Below are 14,642 nucleotides of genomic sequence, written 5' to 3'. Positions count from 1 at the left end.
CTGCTTCTCCACCTTGACCACGCGTCCCATCATGCTGATTTCATCCACCACCTCCGCGTCGGAGGGCCCCTTGTCGCCCTTCTCCCGGGCCTTCCTGTCCCCGGGCCCCCGACCCACAATTTGGTCCACCCTAAGGGTAAGGGAACCATCAGAGGGCCCGGGGACACGCCGTCCCTCCCTTCCACAAGAATTATAGGTTGCCTGATGAAGGAGAAGGCACCACGAGGGGACAGGCAATCTGAGGGAAGGGGCCATTGCCCTGCCAGATGGAGGCTGAGTTGAGGGTGGAGGGACTGGCCCCTGCTCTGGTGGTTCTCCACTGGCCAAGCAAAGGCACCACACACGAACCTGACAAGTAAAACAACCGTCTGGTGAAAGAGGAATGGAAATAGTGGACTAGGAGGCCCAGCGCAGTGGCGCATGCCTATAATCCCAGCATTTGGGGAGGCTAGGTAGGGAGGTATCACTTGAGCCCAGGAATTCGAGACAGACTTGGCAACATAGCAAGCCCTCCTCTCTACAAAAATAATTTTTTAAAAATTAGCTGGACATGGTAGCTCATGCCTGTGGTCCCAGCTACTTAGGAGGCTGAGGCAGGAAGATCACTTGAGCCGGAGAGGTCGAGGCTGCAGTGCGCTGTGATTGCACCACTGCACTCCAGCCTGGGCGACAGAGCAAGATACTGTCTCAAAAAAAAAAAAAAGAAAAGAAAAGAAAAGAAAAGATGGATTGGGGAAAAGGGGAAAGAGGATGGGAGGAGTGGAGACACGTGGGAATGTGACTTTTAAGGTGGGTGGACAAGGCTAGAACTGACCTCACCTTATTTTTCTGCTCTCCTTTGCAGCAAAATTCTTGAAAGTGTTATCTCTATCCTCTACCTCCAATTCCTTTCCTCCCCTTCTCTCTTAAACCTACTCCAGTCAGGCTTTCACCCCTGCCATTTCACCAAAACTACTGTTGTCAAGCTCCCAAATAACCCCATGTTGCTAAATCCATTGATCAACTCCTGTCCTCATTTTACTTGACTTACTAGCAGCACTCAACACATCTGATCACCCCTTCTTCCAGCAAACCCTTTCTTCATTTGAAACACCACCCTCTCCCAGTTCTTTTCCTACTTCCCTGACCTCTCCTTTACAGTCTCCTTTGTTAGTTCCTCCTCTATCTCTGCAACCTGGAAACACTGCAGGATCCAAGGCTCACTCTTGGGACCTCTATTCTCTATTTACTCCACTCACTAGTTGATGTCTTCAGATCCATAATTTTCAATTCCTCTACACTTTCGACACCAAATCTTCATCTCCATCCTGTACTTCTGCTCTGCACTCCACACTTCTCTATTCAACTGCCAGATCAACACTCCACTTGAATGTCAGATAGGCATCACAAACCCGGCACCTCCCAAATCTCCTGACCGAAACTTGCTCCATTCATTGCCTTCTCCATGTCAACAAATGGCAACTCGATTTTTCCTCTTGCTGAAGCCAAAAACCTTAGCTTCATCCTTGACTCTCTTCTTTCTCTTAACACCCCATCAGAAAACCCTGTCAACTTTGCCTACAAAATGTATCTAGAATCTGACCACTTGTCCCACCTCTGCAGCTGCCACTCTGTTCCAAGTCCCCACGGTCTCATGCGTGGAAGTCTGAAGCAGGTTCTCATTGGTCTACCTGTGTCCACCCTCACTCCGCTAAGTCCATCCTCAACACAGCACCCAGGGTGATCCTTTTAAAAGACAATTCAGATCTTGTCAGTCGTTTGCACAAAACCCTCCAATGCTTGCAGCTCATCCTGGATGAACACCAACGTCTTTGCAGGGGCCTACAGGACTTTACACTCTCTGAGTGCCGTTAGCCCTCTGACCTCACCTCCTACCTCTCACTCCAGTGCAGCCACACCAGGCTCCCTGCTGTGCTGAAGCCAACACTCCAGCCACTTGCCCCTCTCAAGTCCTTGGCACTTGCTGTTCCCTCTAGAACCTTCTCACCTATTTAAAATTGCAAACCCTAACAGCCTGACCCTTATTTTCCTCCTTAGTATTTATCGTTGTCTGACATATTCCAGTTTTACTTATTTATCACTTATTCTCCTTCCACTAGAATGAAAGCTCCATAAGTGTGGGAACTCTGCTGCGCTTTCTGCCATATCCCCACAGGCTGGCAAGTAGTAAATGCCCACTGACTATTTCTCGAGTGATTAAATGAATGAGTGGACAGTGAAAATGCAGGCCAGAAGAGGAGAAGGGCAAGGTGCAGGTGATGTGGGTCTTGGGGTGAGGATTCTTCCTAATGCTGGGTCTACCAGAGAGATGTGGGAGGATTCCAGAGGCAAGAGGTGGGCAGTGAGGACAATTTGCCTATTCTCTTGGGAGATGGGAGGTCAGTGATTATTTTAGGCTGATTATTTTAGGACCAGGAAACAGTCATTCTAAACAAAGCCCCCAAGGCATATGAGTCAATAGGGCTTGCACAGAGGACCCACCTCACAGAGAAACTATGGTTGGGTTGTTTCTCAGCCTTGGGACGGGTGCTGGGTCTGGCCTCAGGCTGGCACTGCAAGCCAGGGACCTCCTCAGTCTAGAAACTCAGCTGCAGCAGTGAGCCCTTGGGGGTGCTCGGGGGTTGGCCTCAGACTTCATTCAGGGCTGGGGTCGCTGCCTCCCTGCCCCTGCCTCCCAACAGGCCCGGTGCACCCACCGAGTTTGCAGGCTCTTGATCCGGCCCAGCATGTCCAGGTGGCCTGCTGAGTACTGCTCAATGACGTCCTTCACGTCGTACGGTCGCAGTGTCTCCTTGAATTTCCTTTTGGCCACCAGGAACTTGAGAATCCTGTTGGGGGAGGGGGCTCAGAGGGAGTGTCCTGTTAGAGCAGGGATTCTTTCCCAGCACCCTCTCCATCTCTTTGCTATCCCCTTGTCCAGCACCAGGGCACCTCCTGCTTGGCCACCATGAACAGCCTCTGCTGCGTCTCCCAGCCTCCCCTACCTCCAAGTAGCAGAAACAGGGATGAGATGGAAAGGGGTTAATCAACCAGCCGGGGTGGAGGATGGGGTTCAGGGTGCCATGGTATGAGAAGACAGGAGATCAGCCTCGAGAAGGAGGCTGGGGTGTGCTTTGAAGAGCCCTGCATCTCTGGCAGAGACTGGGCAATGGGACATTGTGGGGCAGGCACATCAATAACTCTGTTTTTTTTTTTTTTAATTTTTATTTTTTAAAGAGATGGGGGTCCCACTATGCTGCCCAGGCTGGTCTCGAACTCCTGGACTCAAGCGATCTGCCCGTCTCAGCCTCCCAAAGTGCTGGGACTACAGGTGTGACCCACTGTTCCCGGCTCAGTTACTCTGCTTTAGCATGCCAGCTCTGCCAGCCTGTGTGGAGAATACCCTGGAGGGGCAGAGGCGTGGGCAGGGAAACTAGCTTTAGGGGATGGGGGAGGAGATATGGAAGAGCTTGGAGCAGTTCAGGAGGTGGGGCTGAAAGTCTCCCTGGTCTGAGTCCAGGATGACTCCCATGGCTTGGGTGACCAAGTGGATGGTGGTGCCACTGCCTGAAATGGGAACCAGCCCAGGAAGAGGAGCAGGTTTGGGGCATGCTGGCTGAGAGGTCGGTGGGGTGGCCCAGGAGAGCTGGCTTGGGTCAGGTGGCAGGTCAGGTACTATGTCCTTGACACTGGGCACATGGAGGGGAGAGAATGGATGGGTGAAAAGGGGGTAAGCAGAGGCTTCAGACTGTGGGGGGTAGTGGGGACAGGTCCAGCTGACTCTGATTTTATCTATTTATCTATTTAGAGACAAGGTGTCACTCTGTCACCCAGGCTGGAGTGCAGTAGCTCAATCACGGCTCACTACAGCCTCAAACTCCTGCACTCAAGCCATCCTTCCACCTTGGCCTCCCAAGTAGCTGGAACTACAGGGGCACACCAACATGCCTGGCTAATTTTTTAATTTTTTTTTTTTTTTTTTGCAAAGACAAGATTTCACTATGCTGCCCAGGCTGGTCTCGAACTTCTGACCTCAAGTGATTCTCTTGCCTCAGCCTCCCAAAGTGGTGGGATTACAGGCATGAGCCACCACGCCCAGCCTGACTCTAATTTTAAAAGGAATACAAGAAAAGAGGCTTGTGGGCAGGTGTATCAGCCAGGGAAGAAAGTGGGGAGCCCAGAAAACTTGGAGGTTGAGGGGGTTTCTGGAGCTAGAGCTGCAGGCTGGAGATGGAGACTAGGCCAGGACGGCACACCAAGGAGCTTGGAGGCCAGATCCATGCCTAGGCCGTGGCCTAGGAGACCCTGGTCCCTGCTTAATTTTTGAGGCATGGAGACAGCCAGTAGAGCAGGGGCTTTCAAACTTTTTTGACCAAGACCCACCATAAAAAATACATTTTTTTTTTTTATACAGTTTCACTCTTGTTGCTCAGGCTGGAGTGCAATGGCACTATCTTGGCTTAATGCAACCTCTGCCTCCCAGGTTCAAGTGATTCTCCTGCCTCAGCCTCCCAAGTAGCTGGGATTACAGGCATCCACCACCACGTCTGGCTAATTTTTTGTATTTTTAGTAGAGACGGGGTTTCACCATGTTGGCCAGGCTGGTCTCAAACTCCTGACCTCAAGTGATCCACCCGCCCAGATGGGGAGCAGCAGTGGGTGGCACACGGAGGGGGGTGCTCGCCTCAGGCCTCAGTCTTACCTGATGGAGCGGATGACTGTCTTCACAGCAGGCATGATGTCGTCCACCGTGAGCTCACACTGGTAGCTCTTCTCCTCTGCTACTTCCTCTGAGGGGGCATCTGAAAAGGCAGGTATGGGGCAAGTGGCCCACCAAAGGGGCCACTCCCAACCTCCCATCCGACCCTTGTATGCCAAACCACCAGTAGAGTGTCCAATAGGAAGACAGAGGCCCAGAAAGGGCTCAGAACCTTCTTGGGGCTCCTGTGTCTCACTGCCCTCCCCAGGGTGGAAAGCCCCAGTGTGTTGCATGCCCATCTGCCCCGGTGGCCAGTCAGGGTAAACATCTGCCTGGTGGGTAGGTGGGAGCTGCTTTAGGGCACAGCTGGCCTAGTCCAGGGCAAGTTTGTTGCACAAAGCCCTGGAGGAAGCCCCACTGGTTCCACCTTGCAGAACAGTGAGCCCCAGAGATAAGGGGTTTGATGGCACTGCATGTAATCATGCACACAGTCTTCTCCTTCAGCTAAGATGGAAGGACACCCAAGTGGCTGGCTCCCAGGCCCAGCTCTGCTACTAGGGAAGGCCCTTAAAACAAACCATTCTTCCCTGAATGAGAGAAGCTTCTCTGAGGCTAGTGCCCTGTGTTGCGCAGAGAGGTGATGCTGTCCTTGCCTCACAGGAGCAGTGGCAAGAGCCCGGACAGCTTCCAGGACAGGGAAGGGAGGTCCTGGGCACCAGCTGTGCCCAGGCTTCTATGGGCAGCACCTCTCAAAGACTGGTCTATGGGGTTCTGTAAACTCTGAGGTGTCAGCCAGCAGCATCTTGAGGGCTGACACAGCACAGGCAGAAACAGCATGGCTGGGTCCCCTCCCTCCAAGGCCAAAGGGGGAGCTGTCCCCATCCCCCATCCTTGTGCACTCACCCCACCTCTCCCCACCCAGGGGCCTAAAGTATGTCAAAGCTGGGAGAAGTCTTCCAGGGGGCTTGGTCCAACCCTCTCATTTTCCTGAAGAGGACACTGAGGCATGGAAAGGGGCAGTCTCCTGCCTAAATCACAGTGGAAGTCTCCAGCAGAGCCAAAACTCAGAAAAGTGACATCAGCATGGTCCACAGTCTCATACTTGCAGCCTGGGCTGGGTGAAGAGGGGTAGGAAGAAGGCCTGGGCTTTGGAGCTGAATAGACCTGCTTGAGGAGAGCACCTCTGCCACTCACAAGCTGAGAGATCTCAGTGCCCACGTCTGTAAAGTGGGGACAAAAACAGAACCTACTTTCCAGGGTCACTGGGAGAAGTAAATGAGATAAGCCAGTGCTGGGCAGTGCATAGTCAGGGCTCATCAAGGATGCATTCCTGCCGCTTCCAAAGTACATTTGTGTTTAGCTATTTGTTGAGCACCTCCTATATTCCCAAAAGTCTTCTGTTCACCTTCCATGGATTATCTCATTTAATCCTCACAATAATCCTAGGAAGTGGATGCTATTATTGTTCCCATTTTATGAATGAGGAGAATGAGGCCCAGAGAAATTAGGTCACTCGCCTAAGATAAGTGACAAAGCCAGGATGCAAATCCAGGCAGTCTCGCTCCAAAGCCTGTGCTGCTAACCCCTATGAAATGCCACCCTCCACGTGATTCCCAAACAGTCTGATGTCCATTGTATAGCAGAGCAAATATTATAATGCCCATTTTACAGATGAGAAGACCAGAGCCCAAAGACGGTCCATCAGTTCCAGAGCTGAGACGCGAGCCAGATCTTTCTGCTCCCAGCCCAGACTGTCCCCGCCCTGCCACCCTCAGCCGGCCCTCGATCGGACTCAGCCCCCCGGGGGCTTACCCTCAGCAGAGGTGCGGGGTTTGAGTCTCAGAGATGCCCGGAAGCGGGTGCGGTCATTGAAGCTCCAGCTCTTTTGCACCTTGGTGGGGCTGGTGGCCTCACCCACCTGCTCGCTGCTTGGGGAGGTGGGCATTGTTGGAGGTGCCAGATGCTGCTTGGAAGGACCCGTCCGCCGCTGGGAGCTGCCCATGCGGATGCGGTCTTTGATGCCCATCCGGCTGCTGGCAGGGCAGGCAGGTTGGGAGAGAGCCAAGTTAGCCAGAGCTGGGGGTGGGGGTGAGTGGGGACAAAGCTGACTTAGGACTTGGGGGTGGCTATTAGGTCTGGATTCCCCGCCAAGCGGAGACTTCTTGGGATGGAACAAGGATGTGGTAAGGGAGGCCCTCACTCCTACAAGAGGCTGATTCGGGGTCAGTCGAAGCAGATCCTCTCCCCACCACCCACATCCCACCCCTCATCACCCGGACAGATAAGGGGTGCACAGGAGACAGATGTCAGAGTGGAAGGAGTGGGAGAAATCCAAAGTCAGAGACACAGACAGGAGGATGTGGGAGCTGGGCCTGGCGCAGGTGAGTGGGCAGAGGGTGGGGGTGGCGACCCCTTTGGGCACAGACAGGCTGCTGAGGGTCGGAAGCTCACCTGGCCATGCACACGGAGGTAGGCCTCCAGTCCTCACTGTACACAGGGGCAGGCTGTGTGGAGTCGAGGGTGTGTGTGTGTGCGCGCATGCACACACACACCTTGTGCACACACATGTGCGAGTGTGGGTGTACAGGCACTGGTGTGTGTACATATGTTGGCGTGTGTTTACATGTGTCATTTCATATTTTCCTCCACTCCCCACTGCTGCGGCTATCTGATCCCACACTGGTCAGGGTTTTAGGGCCTCGTACAGCTGTGCAGGCAGTGCACTGCAAAATAAGGACTCCATCACACAGACTTCCATGCAGTGGTGCCCTGGAGGTGTGCAGCGTGATGGCCTACTGAGGGCCTCGGCCCCATGGTTCTAGCTGCTGGGCCCACATGTATGCCCAGGCCATGCCTGGTGCCTGCCCTCTCAGTGAGGGTCTCTATTTGATAACATGTTCTTCTGTGGTCTCTCCTACCTAAGTTCAGCCCACCTTGATTGACATCCTGCCTGTGTGGTCTTGGATCCCCGCTAAAGATCTACCCCCCGATACTGCCTACTGAGCTCCCGGTTCAACAGCATTTACACAGTCTGTGTGCATGTGAACGTGTACGTGCACGTCTACACATGCACTCAGACTTCCCTTCCCGCATCCAACTCCCCACCACGTTCCCCAAACGTTGGAGGAAAACAAGTTAGCAGAGGCCTCATTCCCCAGGACAAGCCCTGGTTAACCATGATCTGGTAGAGTAACTCTGTGTCCAAGAGGTTCAAGGACAATGTTATGGCTGTTGGGGTAGGACCTATGCAAATGTCCTCCATCCCATGCCCTGTGACGTCATCGCTGCCTCCCCTGCTGTGGTTTGCCACTAGAGATTCCGACAGGTTCAGGTTCGGGTTCAGGGGGACCCACCCCAAATGTCTGGGGCCCCAGATCAAGAGAGTACCAGCCAGCCTTAGAGGAGACCTGAAGTGGGGCAGGAGTTGGGGGAGGACACCGTGTCACCTACTCTCAGAGGCTTTCAGATCAAGGGTTGAGCAGAGAAGAGATTCTGGTTTCGGTATTGGGTGGGAACTGGGGTCTCCCATGCCCAGGGCATGGGGTGGAGGGGAGGGAGCCAAGGTGCTGAAGTGAGGGAGACCTCGAAACCAGGGGCACCTTCAGGAAGGTGGCCAGGATGTAGGGCCATCCTTAGGGGTGGCGGCCTCTGCCCAGAGGGGAGAGGTTAATAGGTCAAGGATGGGGGCCCTGAGGGTATCAAAAGGACAGGGACAGTTCCCAGTTCCCACTATCCAGCATGCTCTCCACTGGCCCAGGACTCCATCGACACATCCCAAAGATTCCAATCAAAGTTTGAGGTTGGCTCTCCCAAACTTTCCTCTGCAGAGCCATTCCTGCAGGCTCCCTCATGCTGGCAAGCACCCTCCACCCTGCCCGGTCCGTGCAACCCCTTCTCCTGTCCTCCACTCCTCCAAGAGGGAGAGGAAGAGAGGAGAGTGGAGAAGGCCCTGACACTTTGGCCAAGGGCCTGGAACTCCACATCACTGCGCCCACCACATAAGGCTCCAATGGCGTTCTGGAGAAGAGGGCAACCTCCCTGTCAAAAGAAGTAATGCAAGCAAGGCTGAGCTTGCACTCAGCAGGACTTATGGAGGAAGGAGTTCGAGGGCTTGCACTAGAGACCTTGAAAGGTCCCTTTCCAGCTCTGATTCTGTGATGGTTGAGGAAGCTTCCAGTCTGGTTTGTGGGGTTCTGTAAGTTTCCAGCCAGCCAGAGGCCCTGAGCTCCTTTTTAATGCAAGAAGGCACTGTTTTCCCAGGAGTGGGTCTGGATTCCAGTTCCTTGGGCAGGGCCCAGAAAATGGCTCATATCAGCTCCTCTAAGTCTGAAAGCTAAAAGAAGGTGGAAGAAAACCTGGCACACAGTGGGCACCAAAAAGCTCTTTCCCCTCCCAGGCTCCCAGAACGTGCAGGGTCCCATCAGGCTGCCTTAGTTCTTTCAGTTCTCTCAGCCACTGTGTGTGGTGGGCGGTCTTTACCATCCCTATTTTATATACACGGAAAGAGGTGAGATGATTTGGCCAAGGTCACAGAGCTCCTATGAGATGGAGCAAGAACTGGAACCCAGCCTTCTCTGACTTCAGAGTCTATGTTCTTTTTCTGGGTCAAGCAATCAGGATAGGGTGTAGAGCAGTGGTTCTCAACTGGAGCAAGTTCCCCCACTCAGGGGACATGTGGCAATGTCTAGTAGGTAGACATCTAGTAGGTAGAGGCCAAGGGTGCTGTTCCACATCCTACCATGCATGTGATAGTCGCAATCCACAAAGAATTATCTAATGTCAATGATGCCAAGGTCAAGAAACTCTGGCTAAGGATCTGTTGGTACCTGGGAGAAAGATGGGGTGGGCTGGACTGTGGCTGCCCTGCTGGGGAGGCCGAGCTCTGCCCAGGCTGCCCTGCTGGTCCCAACCCCTTGAACTCACTTCCACAAGGACTTTCTTTAGGGCCTCATGATCTGCCCTCCCAGGGCCACTCTCACTGGGGGAACAGAGGCAGCCTACGACTTCTGAAGCCACATACAGCCCCTCTTCAGGGACTATGGAAACAGCCTCGCCACTGGCCTCTGCCATGGCTGTGTCCTTCCTGTCCACACCCTCCACAGCCAAAGGAGGCTTGCAAAATGGCGGGCCTGACCCAGAGACTCCTTAGCTCAACGCTTCAGCTCAAACCATTGCCCACAGCCATGGTTTCTAAGCTATTTTCTTTTAAGGTAAATAAGATCTTAACTGCTGAACATACCAAATCAAATAAGGCCAATATTTATTGGAGCCAGGTCCAGTTTTAGTGGAAGCAGACCCTATTTACATCTGCATTTTACATCTGAGGAAACTGAGGTGCAAAGGGGTCAGGTGATTTGCCCAAGGACACACGAATAGTGGGTAGTAGCTAGATTGTGGTCCAGAACCCACGTTTCTAGGAAAAAACACCTCTCAGCAGAAGCACACATGGGCAGCCAGGAGCCCTGCCACTCATCTCCTAGCTCCGGGACCCCAGCCCACAGGGCCCCAGAGGCACCTTTGGAAACCCAGGACTCCATGAGCTCAGGCTGCCAAGCATGCCAACAGGGTGAAGCTCACACTGGGCTTTTAGGTTCTGCATGACCCAGCTCTGCCCCCAACCTTCGCTCTGATGTCCAGTCTCAGGGGGGCCAAACTGGGCTGCCAGCTTTTTTCCCCACACTGTGCTCCCTCTTGCCTCCTTGCTTGGGTCCGTGCTGCTTCACTGCCTGGAATGCCCTCCCTGAAACCCACTGCTTTTAGGGCTTCCTCTGGGTTGTGTGCCTGACCCGGGCTCCACAGCCCCTGTGCTTCCTCCCTTTGTTGCACTCATCACACTGAGCTGCAATTACTCTTTGCAACTCTCCGAGGACGATGTTTTATTCATCACCGTGTCCCTAGTGCACAGAGCAAGTCCTGGCACAGGGCAGGTACCAAGGAATGCCATGGAGATGCCGCTAAAAGAGCTGGGGTCCTGGAGCTGGCAAAGGTGCCAAACCCAGCTCCTTCAGGCATCTGCTAGGTCCCCAGGTGGGTAGCAGGGAGACAGAAAGCTAAGCCCAAGGCCTGGCAAAAGTCAGAGTGAGAAGGACCCTCAGAGGTCCTCTAGTTCAATCTGCCCATTCCACAGACGGAAAACTGAGGTCCAAGAAGGGAAGCAATTTGGCCAAGATCACAGAGGGCATCAGCAGCAGAGCCAGCACACATCCTTAAGGCTCCTGCACGTGCCCCTCCTGGCACCCTGGGCCCATGCCCCAGACCTAGCAGAGGCATCCCAGAAAGGCGAGGGGTTCACTGGGCACCCAAGGCAGACGGCAGGCGGCAGGCACATGCACCTTGTCCTTGGCCCATCCTGTCCCCTCTCCAGCCCCCAAATTGGGTGGGGCAAGGAGGAGTGGGGACAGGAGGAGCAGGCGAGGGGGTACCTCGGTCTCCAGCTGGCGTGGATCCGAAAGAAACTCCGTTTATTATTAAACATCTGGCTGGAAGTTTGAGAATAAGACACGAACAGAGGTTAGCGGGAAAGGGGCTGTGGGCAGAGTGTGGGGAGCTGCTGGGATGGGGCCGGCCTCCGGTAGCTGGTGGGAAAGAAGGACCCCCACCTAAATCATCCTCCAGCCCCATCACCAGAACGTAGATGTTCTCACACTTTGCATAGGGATCCCCTGGGGACCATGTTACATATGCAGAAGGCTGTGTCTCTTCTCCAGAGATTCTGATCCTGTGGGCTTGGAGACAGGTCCAGGTATCTGCATTTTGAACAAACACTCCATGGGATGCTGATGCAGGAGGTCTGGAGACCATGGTTTGATAAACTCATTGCAAAACCCTGAAGAGGAGAGGTGCTGGCCCTGGCAATGCCATCCCCCAGGAAATCCTGCTCCTTTAGCACCACTTCCTGTGGGCACACTTGGCCCAGGTCCATCCCCAAGCACCACCAGAGGTGTGGCCAACCGAGTGTGTATATGTGTGTGTGTTTTTGGTGGAGGAAGGGTGTCCTGGCTGGCGGTCTAGACAGCCACGATTAACGATACGGCCATTGGGCCTGAGCCTGGTGACTGATCTACAAACCATGGCTCAGCCCCCTGGGGTCCCTGGGAGAAAGGGCCACTTTACTACCATCACCCTGTGTCCCAGACACTCGCCAAGTCCCCTCCCAGGCAGATAGATACGAGGCTGGGAGTCAGTGACAGCCAAGCCCTTAGTAGTAATCTGTTCCTGGGCCCTGGGGGTGTCAGGGACCAAAGGAGCCGTGGGGAGTGTACAGGTACTAGGCCCCAGGCTAATGTCCATTCCCCTTGCCTTCCTATTCAGTCAAAATGAGACCAGAGTGAACTGGAAGCACAGAGAGCCCTGGCTCAGGTCCTGGACAGGATTGCTGGGATACAAAAACTCTTGAGTTTCCGCCTGGAAACTATGTTTGGTAGGGATGAAGGTAACAATGAGGGACCTTCGGGCAGAGAATCTGAGAGGGGCCCTACTCTCCCAGGGAGCTCTCAGCCTGGCCTGGCAGTCACGCTTCCCCTCCCTCCAGCCCCAGACCTGGAGGGACTCTCCCTCTCCACCCACTTCCTGTTCAGCCCCTGGCCCAGAAGTGCCCTCACTGAGAACAAGGAAGGGAGGCTGCTCCCTGCATCCTCTGCACCAAAACTCCTCCCTAGGCCTTTTCAGCCCAGAAACTCTAGAGTACCCAGAGCCCCAATCAGCCTAAACACTGCCGATTTTCCGCCAGGACACACAGGTTCAGAATGACTGAAGGCTTCCTCCAGGACACACAGCATCGGGTGGCAGAGGCGAGCTTCCACCACGCCTCCCCTGCTGATCACTGGGCGGCTCGCCTCTTCTCCTATTCTTTGTTCTGGGCCTGGGGCTCAGAATGACATTGAAGCTCAAAGGCCAGATGTCCATTTGGCTGGTTCAGGGGTGATGTGTGAAGATGAGACAAAACAAAGAGATGGGTAAAGGACGAGGGAAAAAGAATGAGGGGGATTTAACCCCTGACCTCAAAGCTAAACCTCTACAAGAGCAGCCACTTTCCCATGCTGTGAGTGGACGGGCTTCCCTTATCCAAACATGCCTGAAATTCTTCTCTTTAGGAACGTTTATGTGGGGGTAAGCATTGTTTGTTCTTTGTTCTTCTTTCAAGATTTTGTAAAAAGCTTCAGGAGAGACAGTTCAAGGGGAAAGAGATGGCTGGGAGCGCCAAAGTGTACCTCAGTAAGGAAGGAAACAGAACCCCAAGAGGACCCTCTGGGATTAGCAAAGTTGCAGACAAGGGCTGCACAAGAAAGGAACATTAGTCACTGGCTGAGTTTACGCAGGTCCTACAGAGGTCTTAATCACAGAGCTCTCTTTCCAGCTGGCATCTCGTTCCCAAGAGGCGAGTTCAGTACTAAGTCCCTCCTAGAGCAACATGCCGGGGGAGGGGGTTCCCTGCCCTCACACCCCAGGATGGTGCCCACGATTACCTGAGCCGTAAGCACCTGTGGCCAGTGGCCTCCTCCTCTGTCCAGCTTCCCGGGAGGGATGGGGGTGCAGGGATGGAGGAGTAAGGGGGACGTGGGAACAGAGAAAGAAAGAGGACAATGCCATGAACGGAGGAGATGATGGGAAAGGATGGCATGGACATCTCTCCCACTCAGACCCTCAGAGCCCCACAGGACAAAAAGGTGAGTCCAGCCTGACCCCTCCAGAGAGGCCCTCAGTCTGTACCTGTCTGGCCCTCTGACGGCCTAGGAGTCCCCCAAACAGGCCCAGACACCCACGAAGTGGCTGAAGGCAGGTCTGAGAGAGGATGAAGACAGAGAATGGAAGAAGAGGAGGAGAAGCAAGAGGAGGTGGCAGCCCCACGGGGCCCCTACCTTTCCCCAGGGCAGAAGGAGGTGCTGCCCGGCCGGTGGCAGGTGGCAACGGGCGGGTAACGGGAGGGTGCTCCGTCGGGTACCGGCGCCCGCCGCACCTCCAGGGGCCGTAGGCCCCCATTGCGGGCCCGTTGCACGTGCTCAAACAAGAGGGCCAGCTCTCTGCAGGAGAGGGCACCATCAGTGGCAGGCAGGGCCATGGCACCACCCCCCTCACCCAGTGGGCACAGAGCTCCTGAGCTCAGATCTTGCCAGGTCCTGCTGCTCTAGAGGTGTTCACTGACAGCCCGGCCAGAATAGGACAGGGTGGACAGTGGGAGACTGGCCTTCCCCACTCCCTTTCTACCCCCAGTTCCCAGGGATGCCAAGCATGGATGTGAAGGCTGGCACAGCTCAAGGGCAGCCGTGCAAGGAGCTTACTCTCAGCCCATCAAGCTGACTGCCTGAACGTGCCGTGCCTCCTCAGAGAGGCCAGCAGTGGCCCTGACATCCTTTCCCTCCAGATCTGACTCTGGATTTTAAGGGGAGATGGAGGTGAGGAGGGCGGTGTGACAGGGTGGCTAGCCCAGCTTCCTTCCCCTCCAGCACTCACTCTTGCCACTGGGTTTTTGAAGACTAGATTCGGGACCGTGGCTTCTTCCTAACTCTCCAGGCCATTTTCTGCTGCCATGAGCCAAGGAGGGTATCTTCCCTCTCTCCTGCCTGCCTTCCCATTGCATGGATGACCAAACTAAGGTCCAGGGAGCAGATGCCCAGTGGATCCAGAATCTCCAGACTAGGCTCTGTTCCTCTGGGCAGAGGTCCTAGACCATCTGACCACCCCCACCCCCAGATCTTCCCTCATACACATTGTATTTCTTACAAATCAGCCCTGCCCCACTCTCGAATGCCCAGCCTTGAACAAAAGGCCTCTCTTCTAATCTAGTCACCTTCCCACTCTGAGGTAGGAGCTTGCCTCTGCCGGGTGGAGAGATGTGGGGGCACCAGTGTGATGCTGGGAGCCCCTCTTCCCGGCCCCTTCTCTCCTGCTTCTCCCCTGGGAAGCCCCTAGGGCTGGGAGGGCGCAGGGATGGGGAAGCCAGGTGCAGAGGCGAGTGGAATCGCGC

General features: G+C 54.6%; 1 protein-coding gene across 6 annotated transcripts in view, besides 2 other annotated features; it reads right to left on the bottom strand.

Moving 5' to 3' along the window:
* KCNQ4 (potassium voltage-gated channel subfamily Q member 4) overlaps positions 1–14,642 on the bottom strand; it is a 56,666-nt gene that overhangs the window by 2,658 nt on the left and 39,366 nt on the right. For 2 of the 6 annotated variants that reach the window (NM_004700.4, XM_017002792.2), the window contains 5 exons: positions 13,537–13,698; positions 6,491–6,711; positions 4,682–4,781; positions 2,697–2,828; positions 1–130 (listed from right to left, as the gene is read on the bottom strand). In NM_004700.4, the coding sequence (NP_004691.2) occupies positions 1–130; positions 2,697–2,828; positions 4,682–4,781; positions 6,491–6,711; positions 13,537–13,698 (745 nt within the window). Of the gene's footprint in view, positions 349–2,696; positions 2,845–4,681; positions 4,782–6,490; positions 6,712–13,536; positions 13,699–14,642 lie in introns of all 6 variants that reach the window. The other 4 variants (XM_047434057.1, XR_007064876.1, XR_007064877.1 and 1 more) reach the window with 4 other exon arrangements.
* Positions 2,671–3,196: an enhancer, noted in NCBI's record as "H3K4me1 hESC enhancer chr1:41300271-41300796 (GRCh37/hg19 assembly coordinates)". NCBI's record gives its function as "activates a minimal SCP1, AML or CMV promoter by ChIP-STARR-seq in primed H9 embryonic stem cells {active_cell/tissue: H9 hESC(primed)}" and the evidence as "EXISTENCE:reporter gene assay evidence [ECO:0000049][PMID:30033119]".
* Positions 12,345–13,248: an enhancer, noted in NCBI's record as "NANOG-H3K27ac-H3K4me1 hESC enhancer chr1:41290219-41291122 (GRCh37/hg19 assembly coordinates)". NCBI's record gives its function as "activates a minimal SCP1, AML or CMV promoter by ChIP-STARR-seq in primed H9 embryonic stem cells {active_cell/tissue: H9 hESC(primed)}" and the evidence as "EXISTENCE:reporter gene assay evidence [ECO:0000049][PMID:30033119]".

Source organism: Homo sapiens, chromosome 1 (genome assembly GCF_000001405.40).
Source record: "Homo sapiens chromosome 1, GRCh38.p14 Primary Assembly".
NCBI lineage: Eukaryota > Metazoa > Chordata > Mammalia > Primates > Hominidae > Homo > Homo sapiens.
The sequence above is the reverse complement of the archived record's forward strand: the minus strand, read 5'-3'. Positions and strand labels throughout refer to the sequence as shown.